Genomic DNA, 17,643 nt, shown 5'->3' with positions numbered 1-17,643 from the left:
GGGCCCCCCCTCTCTCACCACGTCATGCTGCCTGGACACCTGCCTATTATTTATCTTCGTAGTTTTGCACCAGCACCCTCCTCAGAACCTTTCTTGCCTGTGTTTGACAGTCACCAGGAAGAGACCTATTTGAGCCTTCCAAGCACACAGTGAGGAGGCAAGGAGCAGAAGGCACTGGGGCACTTTTGCTGTCAACAGCAGCAAGGACAATTTGAGGGGGGATCTGAGTATGGTTCCTCTCTTTCCTTGGGCCTACCAGTGGCCTTCCAAGTAGCATTGCTTTCCTCCCACAGCAGCTTCCAAATGTGCAGAGAACATGAGCAGCCCAATTCACCCCCTCCTTCTTACAATCCAGGCCCTAGGCAGAGCTGCTGTCACTGAGCACATATTCCATCAGCTTCTCACATGTTGTGGCTCTGAGAAATCACTTAGTGTTCCCAAGAAGATAAAAGCACCATCGTTCACACACATTTAGTTACTAAGTTTGCTGCTTTTTTGTCTCTTCATTCGATTTCTCGACTGTTAGCATTTCAGGTGTTCATTCAGCTGTTTGTCAATCCTTCTGCTTTTGTGAGGTCTTTGTTGTAAGGGAAGACAGCTCCTTCAGACTTCAGAGGCTTTCTGTGTTTTTTTTTTCCTTAGGCTCCAGGGTGTCTGAATTGTTATTTTTCACAAAACCATTTTTTTAATGTGTTTTTCAGTCTGGGCTCTGCAGACCTGAGACCAAACAATGGAACAAAACCATGATACTGGTGAGATGGCCAAAGTATGCCTCATCCCCAAGCTCCCTGTGATCTGTTTCAAGATCCAGCTTGTCAGTTTGTTGGGGCAGGAAGTATACAGACCCACATACTCACTCTGAGAGGCATATTTCTTCATGGTCAAAGTAAACAAGCGATATCCCAAATAAACCATAGAATCCAGGCACATCCATCATTCACATACACTCCAATCTTTATGCTGCAATCTGCTCCCCAAAACCCCGTGGGGAGTTCTCTTTTCCATCTTCTAAATAGCCTTTACCGAAGAGATCAAAGCAAAGAGGATGGACAACTTGCCAGTGCCTATTTCTTCTATTGTTGTGTCTGATAAACCTCAGTTTAACAAATGACTTGTCCTGTGATCTATTTTGTCCACTCTCTTCCAAATGTTCCTCAATTTCTGTTTTCCTAGGTGACCACATTTCTTCCCTCTGGATCCTACCTCATTGGCCATCATCAGTGTACAGTATGTGTTCTCTTCCTTGCTTCCTTATCTGTGTCCTCATCTGCCCTGGCTGTGCAGGGAGAGTTGTCTCTCCCATAGAAAGATGTCCTGTGTTCCCCTTCACCATCAGCGGCCAGAGGCCATTTGGCCTCTTGTAGTTTGGGCCGGGTCTGGGCTGTGGGAACTGTGTGCCTTCCTCTCCGGATGTAGGGCTCTGCGTGACAACTGCTCTTATCCATTGTGCATCTCATCTTCATCCTCTTGAGTATGCTTTGCCTGAGTGATAGCACTCAATATACTCATCTCCAGTATTTGCTAATGCATGGGGCAGGGCAGGGAGAGTTGCCACTACCAGGGACATAGTAACTTGGAGAAAGCTTATTATCTCCATGAAGTGAAAGAACTCTATGGAAGATAGCAAGGAGGTATCTCAAACTCATCACAAAACATACACACACACACACACACACACAGACACATACACACACACACACATTTCCCCCACATAGTGAAAGAAGGGAGGCTTTCTATGTCCATCTTTTCTATATCTATTTTCTATATCTATATCTATTTTCTATATCTATTTCTAGAATAGAAATAGATATCCTATCAGGGGAACCAGCCCCCAGTATTTCAATGTAGGTTCTTTCTATTTTCCATAATTGTCGGCCATCTGAGAAATAAAGAGAAAGAGTTCAAAGAGAGGAATTTTACAGCTGGGCCTCCGGGGGTGACATCATATATCGGTAGGACCATGATGCCCACCTGAGCCACAAAACCAGCAGGTTTCTATTGAGGATTTCAAAAGGGGAGGGAGTGCAAGAACAGGAAGTAGGTCACAAGATCACATGCTTCAAAGGAGAACAAAGATCATATGCCTCTGAGGCCAATAAAGATCACAAGGCAAAGGGCAAAGCAAAGATCACAAGGCAAAGGGCAAAATCAAAAACTCCTGATAAGGGTCTATGTTCACCTGTGCACGTATTGTCTTGATAAACATCTTAAACAACAGAAAACAGGGTTCGAGAGCAAAAAACTGGTCTGACCTCAAATTTACCAGGGTGGGGTTTCTTCTCCACCCTAATAAGCCTGAGGGTACTGCAGGAGACCAGGGCATATTTCAGTTCTTATCTCAACCTCATAAGACAGACACTCCCAGAGCGGCCATTTATAGACTGCCCCCCAGGAATGCATTCCTTTCCCAGGGTCTTAATTATTAATATTCCTTGCTAGGAAAAGAATTCAGTGATATCTTCCCTACTTGCATGTCCATTTATAGACTCTCTGCAAGAAGAAAAATATGGCTCTATTCTGCCCGACCACGCAGGTAGTCAGACCTTATGGTTGTCTTCCCTTGTTCTCTGAAAATCGCTGTTATTCTGTTCTTTTTCAAGGTGCACTGATTTCATATTGTTCAAACACACGTTTTACAATAAATTTGTACACTTAAAGCAATCATCACAGTGGTCCTGAAGTGACGTACATCCTCAGCTTACAAAGACAACAGGATTAAGAGATTAAAATAAAGACAAGTGTAAGAAATTGTTAAAGTATTATTAGGAAAGTGATAAATGTCCATGAAATCGTCACAATTTATGTTCCTCTGCCGCAGCTCCAGCCGTTCCCTCCATTCAGGGTCCCTGACTTCCCGCAACAATATCCTCTGTGCCATCCATGTTAAACAGAACTTTTGGCCATTTCTCCAACCATTTCAGGCTTTCTGGTGGCAAAACTGGTTTTTGCAGATACCAAGTTGTGCAGCATGCACATAACAGAAGGGAAGTTAGGTCTCTATGAGGACATGAAGTTTTTTTGGTTTTTGAGACAGAGTCTTGCTCTGTCACCCAGGCTGCAGTGCAGTGGCACCATCTCGGCTCACTGCAACTTCTACCTCCCAGGTTCAAGCAATTCTCCTGCCTCAACCTGCCAGGTAGCTGGGACTACAGGTGTACATCAACATGCCTGGCTAAATTTTGTATTTTTAGTAGAGATGGGGTTTCGCCATATTACCCAGGCTGGTCTCCAACTCCTGGCTTCAAGTGACCCACCCACCTCAGCATCCCAAAGTGCTAGGATTACAGGCATGAGCCACTGTGCCTGGCAGGACATGAAGTCTTTAAGAACTGGCAGGCAGTCACACTGCTCTCCCTGAAGGTCCCTGTCACTCTGGGAAGTGCCCTGGAGGTGAGGAGGAAGGCTAAAGTGTCCCTGCACATCTGCAGTGCTCATCTGATTCTGCTTCCACAAGAAGACTTTATAATCCTAATGCATACTGAGAGCTTCAAAGTAAACCTTTGCTTTTCTACCCTCTGAGCCCTAGGTCTACAGAAACCCTGGCTCAGATCGAGCATGCCAGTGCTCAAGAGTGGGCCATGAGCATTCCTGCCAGTGCCAGAGCAGAGACCCCCTTCTTCAAGGGATGACCATTGTATGATGTCACCCAGCCTCTGAAATCTAGTGAGGCTTCCCCCTGCATAAAATGACTCAGTACCCAGACACAGCCCAAACCCTCTTTGACTAATGGGAGCCAGTTTCCCACATCTCATTTCCTAAACCATCTTGAGCCTTTGTTTTGATGCTCAGATGAAGTCTCAGCCATGATTTCCATGCTGGTTAAATCTCAGATCTGCCACTTTCCAGCTGTGTGACCTTGGAGAAGTTACATCAGTCTCTGAGCCTCAGTGTCCTCATTTGTAAATGGAAATGACAACTCCCATCTCACTGAGTTTCTTGGAGGAGTCAGTAAGATCACTTTTATGAGAGGCTGACACAATCCTGGTCTATGGAAGCACTCAATGCATTTGCTTCTTTGCGTCTTCATCCTTTCACCCTTCCTCCTGAGGGGCTCCTCTGCATTGAAGGAGACTGTGAGCAGGATCTCACCTATCCCAGCCAAATAGAGTTTGAGGGGCACATTTTCTATTATTAGTAAATACATGCTATGGAATGTTCTTAAATACAAAATGTGCACACCAAACAGGAAGGGCTGTAATTCCGGCTGCACCTATGAAAGAATTTTCCTCAACACCATTTGACTGCCAATCTCTGGCTTATCATTTTACATGAGAAACAGTAAAGCTCTTTAATTGTTGGATCCAGAAACTGAAGAACCCTTAATTCCTGAGGTTTGCCTTGAAAAGGCAACCAACTTTAACTAGGTCCCTTTAATTTTGTGTCAGCCTGAAAGATTGCAGTGGAAGAACACTTCTGAATTTCTTATTCAGCAAGAATGACAGATAACTAAGTGTCTGTTTTGTTATTTTTTTTTTCATGAGAACTAGTTTAGGACAAAGTTTTTGTCTTGTTTTGTTTTTCCAACTCAAAGTGAAAGCAGCATTACTGAGTCTCATGGAAAGGGATACATATATTTTGTATATATATTTTATATAATCTCAAAAAATATATTTTTGAGATATATATTATATATTTTATATATATCTCAAATATATATTATATATTTTATATATAATATATCTCAAATATATATTATATATCTCATATATTATATATCTTAAATATATATTATATATTATATTATATATATATTCTTTTTTCTTTTTTTTTTTTTTGAATTAGAGTCTTGCTCTGTTGCCCAGGCTGGAGTGCAGTGGCATGATCTTGGCTGACTGCAACCTCTGCCTCCCAGGTTCAAGCAATGCTCTCTGCCTCAGCCTCACGAGTAGCTGGGATTACAGGCACACACCACCATGCCCAGCTAATTTTTGTATTTTTAGCAGAGACAGGGTTTCGCCATTTTAGCCAGGCTGGTCTTGAACTCCTGACCTCAGGTTATCCACCCACCTTGGCCTCCCAAAGTGCTGAGATTATGGGCATGAGCCACTGCACCTAGCTTGAAAGGGATATATTTTTTATAACTTAGATAACTTACTTTATTGACTAGACTATGTCCATGAGAAATTCAGCGCTGCAGTTTAACCGCTAGTAGGATAAGACCCAGGCTTCTCTGAGAAGGAGCAGCAGGAAGGCAACTGCCAATTAACTCTTCAGCCTGAAATTAGATCACAACTCAAACCACACAGCCAGTTGGCCCATGAGCCCGAGGGCTGAGGAGGGGCAGTGCTGGCCTGAATGAGCTAAACCCAGTGTTATCCTAGAGAGCCTTTCGGGTTCAGGTGAAGTCTTAGAATCACAGGCCAGGAAGCATCTCTGTGGCAAGCTCTTCATGGTTAAAGGGATGGAAAGAACCATAATTGATGATAATGAGTAAATCCTGCAGCTCTTTGCATCCAGTTCACTTACTTTTTATTTGCAAGATGCTTTTCCTCAGCCTATGTAGCAAAGCTAGGAACAGAATCAGGTCCCTACAGGTCTCTTCAAACTGGAAAATGCTGCCTCTGTCCTCTTGGTCCTCAGGTGTGAGCAGGTCAGAAGGCCACAAGAAGGGAGGACCAAGGAGCAGGGAAATCCCTTCCTCTCTTCCACACTGCTCATCTCTTGGAAGATTCAGAAGTCTCGGCTACCCGAGTATTTTTAAATCCTGTGATTTCGCAGGAACCCTGGACCAACTAGCTGGCAAAATCCAAAGTTCACCTCCTGCAGTCTTTCCTACACTTGGCTCTATTCTTGGTGTCTCTTAAGTGTTTATTCATGCCTCGCCTGCTTAACGAATTCAGTATCTTCATAATAAATGGAACTTGAGGGCCAAATCCTGCTCCAGTGTGACTCCGGCAGTACAGTGTCAGGCCTGTGGGAAGTGGTATCTCTGTAAAACCCCAGAGGCCCGGCTGTGTCTGCTTCTGCTTCTGGTAGGAATTTTCCAAGGTACAGTGGACTTGTCCTCCAAGCCTGATCCTGACTTCTGTACCCAGCGGATCTCTTCATGAAGGGCACACTGCTCACTGTGACCTCTGAGGGAGGCAGCTCCACCCAGGCAGGCCTGCTAAGTCTTCCCCAGCCCTCCATCCTTAAAACAGAACTGAGGTCCAGGAAAGATGACTTGACTGAGCAGGGCAGAGCCAGGCCAAGGCCCCTGGAGCAGAGATTTGTGCCACTGCCCACTCCACCCTTTCTCTCTGTCTCTCTCTCTGCTTGGCTCAGCTTCCTGCCATTAAGAAGTATTCCTGTTACATCCCAGGTTCAGTTGCACATTGCATCCTGCGGGGGAGGCGAAACAGAGGCTGGCCAGGTACCCGCACTGTGCAGGGCACCCCTCCAGAGTGAGGCGCCAGGCATGGGAGGGTCGCCATGGTTGCTGAGGCTCTTCAAGGGAGGGAGGGGTCCTGCTACACCACGCAGGCTGCCTCTGCATTAGGCCAGCCCTGTCTGATCCCTTCCTTGCTTGGCATTTCAGAAAATCATGAAACGGCTCATAAAAAGATACGTCCTGAAAGCCCAGGTGGACAGAGAAAATGACGAAGTCAATGAAGGTAAATGACTGGATTTCCACCCACGTGGTGATTTAAAACAACACAGGTTCTGTGGGTCTCACTGGGCTACGGCCACAGTGTTGTCAGGGCACTGTGCTCCTTTCCAGAGGCTCCAGGGAGGCTCAGTCTCCTTGCTCATTCAGTTGTCGGCAGAGTGCATTTCCACGGGGCTGCAGGCCTGTCCCTGTTGCCTTGCTGGCCACAGCTGGGCTGCCCTGAGCTCCAGCACTTGGTCTGTGCATACAGCCCCACCACCTCAGAGCTGGCAGCAGGCATCAGGCACCCTCACACTCCATTTGCCCTGCCTCATCTTCCATTGTCCCATCTCTGACCCCACTCTTCTGCCTTCCTCCTCCACCATTTTTTTTTTTTTTTTTGAGATGGAGTCTCACTCTGTTGCCCAGGCTGGAGTGCAACGGCACAATCTCGGCCCACTGCAACCTCTGCCTCCTGGGTTCAAGTGATTCTCCTGCCTCAGCCTCCTGAGTAGCTGGGATCACAGGTGTGTGCCACCACGCCCAGCTAATTTTTGTATTTTTTTAGTAGAGATGGGGTTTTACCATGTTGGTCAGGCTGGTCTCGAACTCCTGACCTTGTGATCCGCCCATCTCAGCCTCCCAAAGTGTTGGGATTACAGGCATGAGCCACTGCGCCCGGCCCCTCCTCCACTTTTAAGGACTCATGTGATTGAATTGGTTCCACCAGGACAATCCAGAATAATCTCCTTCTGTTAAGGGCAGCTGATCAGCAACCTGAATTCTATTTGCCACCTCAGTTCCCCTTTGAGGAGAAACAGTCATGTTTCCCACAGGCAGAACATCAGGGATCAGGACGGGGACATCTTGGGAGTAGGGGACATTCCTCTGCCTCCCACAGCAATGGCAGCCTTGAGCCAACCTCATGCCTCTTGAGTGCAGGATGGTTCAGAATTCCAATGCTGTACTTCATTCCATGGTGCACATCCACTGAGCAGATGCACACTGCGTTTAGGGTCTGCCGCCGCTTGCTTCTAACTGGCCCTGTCCAGTCTCAGTGGGAGGTTCTCAGCATCTAACTGACAGCCGTGTTTCTCAAAGTGTTCCCCACCTCAGAACTAGCTGTTAAAACTACAGATCCCAGACCCCACCCAGACCTAATGAATCAGCATCTCTGGAGTGGGGTCTGGGGATCTGCTTTTGGAAAACTGCACCAAGGGTCTCTGATATACACTGAAGTTTACCAACTATATTATTTTCACTGTTTGGGTTGTTTTCCAGTCTATTTTAAGCAGTTACTCTTAGATGAAAAGCAAATTACTTTATGCCAGGTAATTAATGAGATACTTATGACAAATATTTGCCACCTAGAAACAGCCTCATCCATGATTGAAGTTTCTGTTCTCCTAGCTTGGGCCACAGGGAACTACAGAAAGAGCCTGGTCATTGGGTGACCCTCTGCTTCATCCTGGGGCACCCAGCATGCAGCTCGAAGCTCAGCCATAACTGAACTGCCCCTGAGCTGACATGGTTTAGGGGCAGACAACAGCCCACCTACCTACTTGTAGGTCTCAAACAATGGCCAAGTGTCAGGCCAGCCAGCCTCAAGCAGTATGTAACTGATTCATGTGAATATCACTGATCATAGAAGGTGGGGGTATCCAGGTGTCATGGCACTTAAATTACACCATGAAACGGGGGCTCAGTGAAGCATCTGATAAAAACAGGGGGTGTATCCATTTGTCAAAATGGATCAAACTGTACCTTTAAGATCTCTGCCTTTTATGTGTATAGACCATACCTGAAAAATAGACGAGTAATGTTTCCACAGACAGTGGACTCCCACACGAGCCAAGTGCAGTATCTACAGTATTAGGAAAGATCCTTTTGACATCTGTTTGTGGTTAATAAGAAGATTCCCACAGCCTAGACCCATTGGACTTCTAACCACAAGGTTCTCTGTGGAAATAAAAGTGAAAGTCCCTGCTAGGTGGTCCCTCGTTATGGAAGGAGGAGGCGGCAGGCATTGACGAAGCTCCTGTCAGCGAGGTGGTGCTGCTGCTTGTGTGGGCTGAGTGGACCGTGCTCAGGTGGCCAGCTCACTCCCAAGAGGCTGGTCAGCTCCATGGCCACCACGGCTGCATCTGCTGTGCCGAGCCATTCTCTCCAGGCTCCTGGGAGTTTCTCCTCCCTACAAATAACAATGACAGAACAAAACATAGCATCATCAAAAGCAATGCTCTGGTTAATGGGGTTGTTTTCCAGAGTCTTGAAATCTGCCTTTAGTGACTCTGAAACAAACTTTCTAACAAGTATTTTATGAAACAAGTGCTAGACACAATTCACAGCCCTGATCTTGACTCCTCCTTCAAACCCCTAAGGGAAAGGTTTTCCTGGAATGGGAGGAGAAGGGCTTTCTATGGATCGATGTGTCCTTCAGTGGTGGGGGAGCTGGGTGGTTCTGGGTTCAAATAGAGCCCCCCTTGCCTCACCTTCAACCCTGGTGGGCTGGCCCAGGACCCGACATTCCACTGGAAGGATGCACATGCCCACATGTGCATGGGACAAGCCCCGAGCTTCCACCTACTCAGACTCAGCAAAATCTCCTCTGTCCTTGCAGGCGAGCTGAAGGAAATCAAGCAAGATATCTCCAGCCTGCGCTATGAGCTTCTTGAGGAAAAATCTCAAGCTACTGGTGAGCTGGCAGACCTGATTCAACAACTCAGCGAGAAGTTTGGAAAGAACTTAAACAAAGACCACCTGAGGGTGAACAAGGGCAAAGACATTTAGCAGCCCACATCGGCGTCTGTGACTTCTACCAGCATTCCAAGGCCAGGTTGGATGCCCTCGCCCCCATCCTTGGTGGGGAGGGGTCCCCAGCCCACTCCTCTAGGACACGAAGGGGATCTCCTGGCTCAGTCTCTTGCAGCATGACTGACATCTCCAGCCCGCTGGCCTGCCTAGACCCAGAACTGCTGTGAATCTAGGTGGTTGGGTAAGAAAAGCTACCATGGGAGGAGGGGAGGAACAGCCCCCTGACGAGTGTGAGACCTTTGGTCCAGCCACAGTGAAACCCATCCCTGTGGCCAGAGCAGGAAAAGGCCATCTTGGGTGCACACCTGTGCCCTCCCACTGCAGGTGGGACTGCAGCTCTGGCTGTGTCCTGGGAAGACAAACACCTCAACCCACAAACTCCTTCTCACTCCCTCCCTGCCACCCCCAACACATCCAAACAGAACCAGGAGGTGACCTGTGATCTATTCTTAAGTGCCAGATGAGAACACAGCCTAATAGCAAAATAGTTCTATTTGTTTATATAAAAAAAAAGTTTAAAAATCCTAAATTGAAAACTGTACTGTAGGTAGCACTGTTTAGAAAACAACAACAAAATCCAAATGATGTATTTTTACCTTTATTAAGATTATCTTGTATTTACTATTTTTACCTAAAATGGAAAGAAATAAAATTACCTCATAATAACTTCTGTGGATACGCTACCAGGGCCGCCCCACTCGCGGGCCCAGTCTGGAGGTGGCCTTGGGAACCTGTGGCCCAGGGATGCTTCGGGAGGAGAATGGGCCGATGCGGTGGGGGTTGGGTGGGGACGAAGGCACCACCCTCCTTAGAGTCATGCAGCCAGGACCCCCAGAAGCTCCAGCCTCCACCTCCAAGCCCCTCCTCCTGTGCCCAGACCTAAGGTCAGGAAGGAGGTAAAGGAAATGCAGAACAAGTGGAAAGTTTTCTCCCACCCCATTCTAGAACTTTCCTCCATGTGAAAGGAAGGGGAGGGGCAGGAATGAGGCCTCAAAGTGTCCCCCCAACCAAGGAAGAGGCTAAGTGTGAGTGGGGAGAGCAGCCACCAGAGGGCGCTGAGTCCCAAACAATGCCTGTTCGGAGCAGGTGTGCGAAGATGCCATTCATCTTCCAGAAGCTTCCAGAAGAGCCCTCTGCTCCCAAGGAAATATTCCTAGGGCTGGCCAGAAGTATTCAGCTTTTGCCGTGTACCAGGCACTGTGCTCGGGGCTTTGCATGCATCAGTCCACCGGATCCTCACAGCAACCCTGTGAGGAGGGTGATGGTTACAAATTCACATGCCTTGCAGACGTTCTAGAGGGGGGAAGATAAATATATAATAATTATATATATATATATATATGCATGTGTGTATGTGTAAATGTATATATGTATGTATATGTAGAAAGAGGGAGCTTGTGTTTCAAGACATACGTCTTTGTCTTCAGGGGCAAACATTTTTTTTACTTAACTCTGCTATAAGAAACAGCCGATCAGATGAGGCGATAAATAGAAGTGAGGTTGGTGCCAGCATTGATGGGAGTGACGAGGGACGATGACAGACTGCACAGCCGTGCCCTGCCTAAAGCAGGCTGCAGACACTCAGCTCAGCCCATCGTTGCCATAAGGAATATAAGTCCTGTTTTGCCACATCTTCCCAACTGCTGAAAAAAAGAAAAAGTCAACATTTGTTGGGCTCCTGGCCGCCAAGATAGGCAGCAGAAGATGAGACATGGCTCCATGCCTGGGCCTTCCCAACCCAATCTGCACCACCACCTAGTATTCAAGCAAGACAGAAACAGGCATTTGACAGGTACTGGGCATACTGCATATGCAGGGGCACTTGACAGACATAAACTCTGGCCCAGGAGGAGGATCCATAGAGGACCATGGATGGATTTCAAAGAGCCTGCAAGTCCTAAGGTGCCCTTCAGGCTGTGTGCTTGTCTTTGCAATGGGTGCATTGTTCTGGAGAGAACACCTGTAGCTTTTTGCAAGCACTCATCTACACGCCCCCGGCAAGTCCACAAATGAGGAATGACTTTACTCAGCAGCTATGTACTAAGCCCCTTGCCAAGTGCTAGGGACAGAGCCACATGCATCCAGTGTGGCTCCCTTTTTAAACCCAGACTCTGAAAAGGGAGGCTTAAGTGCTTTGTAGGAAGAGCAATTGATTCATCCAGGGGACAAATTGCTAACACTTCTGGAAGACTGCCTTTCAGATCCCTCATTTATCTTTATCAGAATGCTAATCAATACTTCTGAGATGCATTCTTCAATTTCTCTATCTGCCTTCAGCCAAAGGCAGTTAGCAACCCCATTTTCAAACCATGGGGCACACTTTTCCTATCAAACCTAAGTCTCAGATCTACTCCTTATAGAGATAAAGGAAAACCAGTCTCACTGAGTAATTAAAAACTGGGAAAGAAAACTAGTACCATCCATTAGGGTTTTAATGCCATGTCTAGGAGGTAAAGGTAGTCCAGGAATGAATTCATGGCTGTCAGATGGCTATGGGGAAGGGCAGAAGAGAGCCCCTTTTTGGTGGAGAGCTGTTGGAGAGGCCTGGAACTGAGGGCTGGCAGAGATCAGCAGCCTGAAGCAGGGAAAAGGGCTCAGTCATCTTCCAGGCACTACCAGTCTCCCTCACTTGCCCCATCTCTTGGGCCCATGCTAAATTAGCCAGGCAGGGGAAGCAGCGCTTGAAGAAGCCAAACAGCAGGGTGAGGAATGGAACCTGAGAGAGACCCAAGGGCAGATGGGGAGAAAAAAGGACCCAGTCCTCCCTGGAAAGTTCACTAACACTCCTCAAGATGTGCATGCCGCCAGAGGCACCCATCTGTCCCCTGCAGCTCTGCACACTTGCCATCATTCTGTCTACAACTCTAATGTATACGTTCAGCATCTGTCTCCACTGCTCCAGGGAAGCTCCATGAGGAGGTCAGGTCTGTTCCATTCCCCACTGAGTACTGGCACAGGGCCAAAGAGTAGCCACTCTTGCTGAATTCCTCATGAATTACTGCAGGGCCCTTCTGATCTCCAGTTTTCTGAAGTTCCTTCAGACAGCATCATCTCGGGCCCTGAGAAACTCGGTGAGTTTGCAGAAACATAAGCCATCCTCTGCTATAGCTCAAGCCATTTCCCTTCTAGTTATAGCCTGGAAGGGGGCCCAGCTCCTTGCCATAACATGGCACACTGATGCGGGAGTTGCAGCCCCTGTCCAGGCTTCCTGGGTAACCAGTGGTTAAGCAGTGAGTTCTCCAGTGACTTGTCACCTTACAATGGCTACTAATAGGACTCGACAAATCATAGTGACACTTCTCATGCAGAAGTCCCCAATTAGTCCTCCGAGCTGTTCCTAAAGGACCATGCTCACACACTTGAGAAAGTGCAGTGACCGCCTCTGCCCATCAAAGCCTGTCTCCTTCCCTCCCAGCAAGGCCCAAAGACAGAACATTGGCCCACACAAGCCAGGCAGGGGGAGATTCCCCAGGGCAGGAAAGCTCTGACCAGACACCTTCATGGGGAGGCTGAGACACCCTGCACTGCTCAGGAGCATGCAGCATCTGGTTACAAATAAGCGGCCTTGATCCCATCACTTCTCAAAGTGCCCATGACTGCGTCTGTAAAGTGCAGAGTCTGAGAGCCCCAGAGGCCGGCAGGCCAGAGAAGCTTCATTTGCGGAGGCAGGCAGGCACGCCTCCACGCTATGCTTATCCCAGCTCTTCTCTGCATCCCATGAAGGGTGAGAGTACTAGAGGGAAGGAGCTCCAGGAAAGACACATAGATGCCAATCAACTTAATGATGATTAACACAGGAGTGAAGCCACTTCCGGCCGTGGTCTCCCAGGCACAGCCAGCAGGAGCTTGGGTAACGCTACCTCATCCCGGTCCTGGGAGCGGGGCCCACATGGGCTGGATGGCATTGCGGAATGGCAGGTCCAGACACTCACTGTGGCCCAGTATTTCACCATTGTTTCCCCAGTGCCGTCAAGCAGCTAGGACAACCCATGCCTTTTGCTTCAGCGAAGGAATGACACAGAAAGCAGGAAAAAATAAAGGTGTGCTCATTTCCCAGACCTGAGGCTTTAAAAAAGGGAGAGGTCAGATGAGGGGAGAGTCGAAGTTTGGAAGAAAGGATGGCTGAGGAGCATGGGTTCTCCCCTACCCAGATTGGAGCAGCAGAGGAATGGGCAAAGTGGTGAGAGCAGAGAGGTCAAGGTGCTGGACAGAGAGAGTCAGACCCCAGAGGAAAGGGTGTGCTCCCATGCCGATAGAACCCGGGGCCTGGCTGGGTCTGCCTTCTGCACTGCCTGGCCTCCTCTAGAATGAGCAGGGACCAGCCCAGTTGCCTCCTGTCAGCCTCTCCCCTGCACTAGGAGGGAGAAAGAGGAAGGAAGAGGCTCTCCAGGGCTGAGGCAGAGGCAAAGTGTCCTCTCCTTACAATAAGTTTTAAAAGTCCTGATTTCATGTCCTCTGAGTATCTGAGTCAGAAATAACTGGGCAAAACACAGCCCGCTACGCCTTGACATGGATGTGGCATAGCTGTGCCACTGACCAAAGAGGCCTGAGTGTCCCGTGGAGGCTGACGTGCGGAGGCTGCTGCCAGGCACTGACCCCACACCCCTAAGGTCAGCAGCCCCCACCCAACCCAGCAGACAGGCAGCATGCTGGGGAAAGAGAAGAAAAAAGAAGGCAATTAAATATGCTAAAGAAAAATTTAACAAGACACTTTTAGGTGTCTGAGGGCAGGTCCAGACACTGGTAGGACAGACAACATTTTTAACTTTGCCACTTCCACCCCCACCACCCCAGTGATGGTGAATATACAGGGATAAGGCAGAGAGATGGCCGGCACAGAAGCCAGAGAGGAAGGGTGGGCTATGGAGCATGTAGGCTTGGTGCTGGCTGTGACCCCCTCTTTGGCTGGTAACAGATCTCACTGTACCCCAGACACCGTCTAGCACCTAACCCCAGGACAGCCACCCAGAGTGCCCACCTCCTCTAAAATCAACAGCAGACCCAAACAGAGCTGATCTTAGTCTTTCCTTGGTTTTATATATAAGTAGCCACTGGGAAAGAAAAGTCCTTCTTTGGCAGGGTTGATGAAAAGGAGAATGTGAATTTGGGACACCCCTCTGCCACATGGAGAGGGACTGTCTGCAAATGAAGTCAAAAAGAGATGAGAAATAGAGACAAGGGAGAAGAGGAGATGGGGAAGGGGGATAGAAGAGAAAAGGAGGGAAAGGGAAGCAGAAGGGGTGCCGTTGACCTTAGGTGGGGCCCACCCCGAGGCCCTGCTTCCTGCAACTCTTCCTTAGGGCTGCTCCAGAAGCCTTCGTAGTTTCCCCGCCAAATGGATCCCATTTTTGTTTAAGCAAATTTGCTTTGGGTTTCTGTCATTTACATCCTCAGAGTCTTGATGAACACAGAAATGGTGCAGTGACTTCTCCACCCTTCCCAACCATGGGGCTGGTTTTGAGCTTCTGTGGTTGAAGGAGCGAGGGCCAGAAACTGCCAGGACTGTTTTTCTTGAGATGTGGTGTGGTTCTGTTTAATGAGTGAGGGCCAGAAGCTGGTTAAACTGTTTGGGAGAGAAGCTTCGAGGCCGTGGGGCAGAGCAGGCCTGCTTCGCGACCCTGGGCATGCATACACCTCAGGACCAGGGAGAAGTCTTTCTGCTCTGCCCAGCCACCAGCTTTGGGAAGACCTTGAATTGGCACGTTGGGCATTTCTGTAGGGACAGCGATCCCAGTGAGACATCTCTCAACATCTATGGAGGCAGCAGGAAGCAGAAAGGTGAAGGGGGAGCAAAGCAGAGAGGGCGACAAGGCAGCCAGCATGGTGACCACCATTACCAACCTTGTTTGTGGGGTCACCCCTCGGAGACTCCAGAAATAACCAGTAGACACTGTGGGCAGGTCCAGCTTCTGGCTGGTGAGGATGCTGCTATACATAGGAAATATAGAGCCTTATTCTGTAGGTAGAGTATGGTGAAGTGGACTATTCAAGTTATGTAAATAGGACTTGATATTGGTCTTGGGGACTTCCACTGCTTCCCATGAGCATAGATCATTGAGAGCAGCATGAGCCCCAGTGGCCGTACAACTGACTCAGGATTTCTGGACCACTGATGCCGGCAGGGAGCAGCGACTGCCCCAGACCTGAGCAGGGTCAGTCACTGAGAGAGAGGAAGTGACTTTGGATCATCTCAGTGATAGAACGGAACACAGCCCCAGAGTATCACGCTCAACTCCAATCAATCGCAGAATGGGCACTCCAGCAAAATAGAGCCATTGGTGCCTTCCTAACCTGCAGAAATCTATTAGCTGCCCCCAGAGCCAGTTAAGCCCTGGTGAAGGTGAAGATTCGATCTGAGAGCCGAGGCTGCCTTGTAGACTCATCATTACATAAAGATGCTTGCAGCATGATCACTGTCTGTCACCACCAGCGTGAACAGAATGTGTATTCTGTGCTTCAGCAAAAGCCATTAGGGTGTCTTCTCATGATATTTTTCCTTCAAAGAACACAGATGTTTTTGCTGTGTCCTGGGACTTCTGAGCCTAATGTCCCCAAGCCCCAGCTCAGAGGTGAGCTGTTTTCATTGTGCTGAGGCTGCAGGAAGAGGATGGTATGGATCAGTATTCTAGTCACTCTGGACAGATTTTCAATCTTTCTCCCAAAGGGTAAAAACAGCATTTTCCTGATTCTTGAAGACCTTCCAGTCTGTACTCCCCCTGCATACATATGACATGAAAGACTCAACCCAAGGTGAAACATAAGGGATACTTTCTGAAACAGGGATCTAAGGGTGTGAGACAAGAACACAGATATATGAGGAAATCAAGGGAACTGTCACTTCCCACACAGCCCGTGTGCACCCACCCACGAGGTCACGGCTCAGACACCCGGGTAACTCTAAAGAGACTAAAAATGTGCCCTAAGACCACCCACGGGGTGTTTCTGGTCATCCTTTGTGCTCCACCACATAGGCAAAGACAAGGAGGGGGATTTGGAGGTGAGAATGGAACCTGGGCAGAAGTGCCTAGGCACACAGACACAAGGAAAGAAGAGGAGTGAGGTAGAGGGCCCCATACTTGCTCCCACATGGGTCCACTTTGTGGCAAAGACTTAGAGGCAACCCAAAGAGATGTGAAGGAGATGTCGGTGTCTTCATCATCAGGGATGTGCAGGGCCTCCCACAGGCCTCACAGAGGCCACCATCAGAAACCCATATGCAAGAGGCAGCATCTGCAGGAAGCTACTCTACTCCCAAGGGAAAATCAGAGAAACTGCCCTCCTGCCAGGCCTCGGGGTCTCCTCTTCCCGAGCTGAGGTCACCCAGGGACATAGACCACCACTGACACAGAGCAGAGGAGTCTGGGTCTGTGTGACCTCCCCCAAGTCACAGCACAGGCCGCCAAACACAGGAAATGGCAGGGCCAGTAGCACTGGTTCCCAGTGGAGATACATAGTACTGGGTAGATGTTCCATTTCCCAAATAGACACAAATGCCTGGTAAGGCTGCTGTTCTGTCCTGTAAATTGTTTGGGTGACTTCCCAAGAAAGAAAGGAAAATATGGTTGTGGTGAACTATACCCCATGGCCCCAGTGAAACATGCTTCCCAGTACTCAGGCCCTTGTGTGTTCCCCTCCCCCATTGATGCTAGGCTTGGTCATGGGACTTGTTTTAGCCAATGGAGCATTAGCAAGTATAGCACAAGCAGTGGTTTGATAAGCCCATGCCCAGGGTGGCTTGTCTTACAACAAGCCAGCCCTTGTAAAGAATCTCAGCTAGGATGCTGAATGTTGAGAGGCTGTGTAGAGAGAAACCCTGGAGGTTGAGAGGCCTCTTGTATTTCCAGCCTAGACAAGCTCCCAGCTAAGTGCAGCTGCATAAGTGATTCAGCTATGTGGAGCAGAAGAACCTCCCAGCTGAGCTTTGTTAGCCACAAAATCACGAGAAATAATAAAGTGTTGTTGCTTTAGGCCACGAAGTTTCGAGGTGGTATGTTACCCAGTAATAACTAAAATAAAGGGGCTGAGGAAGGATCCAGGAACTTTTCACACCATTTTTAGCTTATCTGCAGGAGAGTAATCAATCCCACCCATTCATCCCAAAAGAATGATTTACTTCTGAATCATAAGGCCTGGTGCCTCAAACAACAGAAGCCTATGAATGCAAATCAGCAGTTGTTTAAGAAGCCACAGTCAGGGTTTCCAACCTCCCCAGGTTGGCTTTGCTCCACTTAAAAAGAAACCCAGTGTCTGGACACCGATGG

At 48.4% G+C, this 17,643-nt stretch overlaps 1 protein-coding gene and 1 long non-coding RNA gene across 5 annotated transcripts in view; one reads left to right on the top strand and one right to left on the bottom strand.

Moving 5' to 3' along the window:
* Positions 1-10,048, top strand: part of TRPC7 (transient receptor potential cation channel subfamily C member 7) — a 152,801-nt gene extending 142,753 nt beyond the window's left edge. For all 4 annotated transcript variants that reach the window (NM_001167576.2, NM_001167577.2, NM_001376901.1 and 1 more), the window contains 2 exons: positions 6,518-6,593; positions 9,189-10,048. In NM_001167576.2, the coding sequence (NP_001161048.1) occupies positions 6,518-6,593; positions 9,189-9,358 (246 nt within the window). In that variant the 3' untranslated portion in view covers positions 9,359-10,048. The remainder of the gene's footprint in view (positions 1-6,517; positions 6,594-9,188) is intronic.
* Positions 634-8,745, bottom strand: TRPC7-AS1 (TRPC7 antisense RNA 1). The gene is made up of 2 exons (NR_046708.1): positions 8,370-8,745; positions 634-717 (listed from the first exon to the last, which is right to left on the bottom strand). It is a non-coding gene; the product is annotated as a TRPC7 antisense RNA 1 (long non-coding RNA).
* Positions 10,049-17,643: the final 7,595 nt, after the last annotated feature.

This window comes from Homo sapiens, chromosome 5 (genome assembly GCF_000001405.40).
Source record: "Homo sapiens chromosome 5, GRCh38.p14 Primary Assembly".
In the NCBI taxonomy this organism is placed as follows: domain Eukaryota; kingdom Metazoa; phylum Chordata; class Mammalia; order Primates; family Hominidae; genus Homo; species Homo sapiens.
Note: the sequence above shows the minus strand (reverse complement) of the source record. Positions and strands in the feature narration are given on the sequence as shown.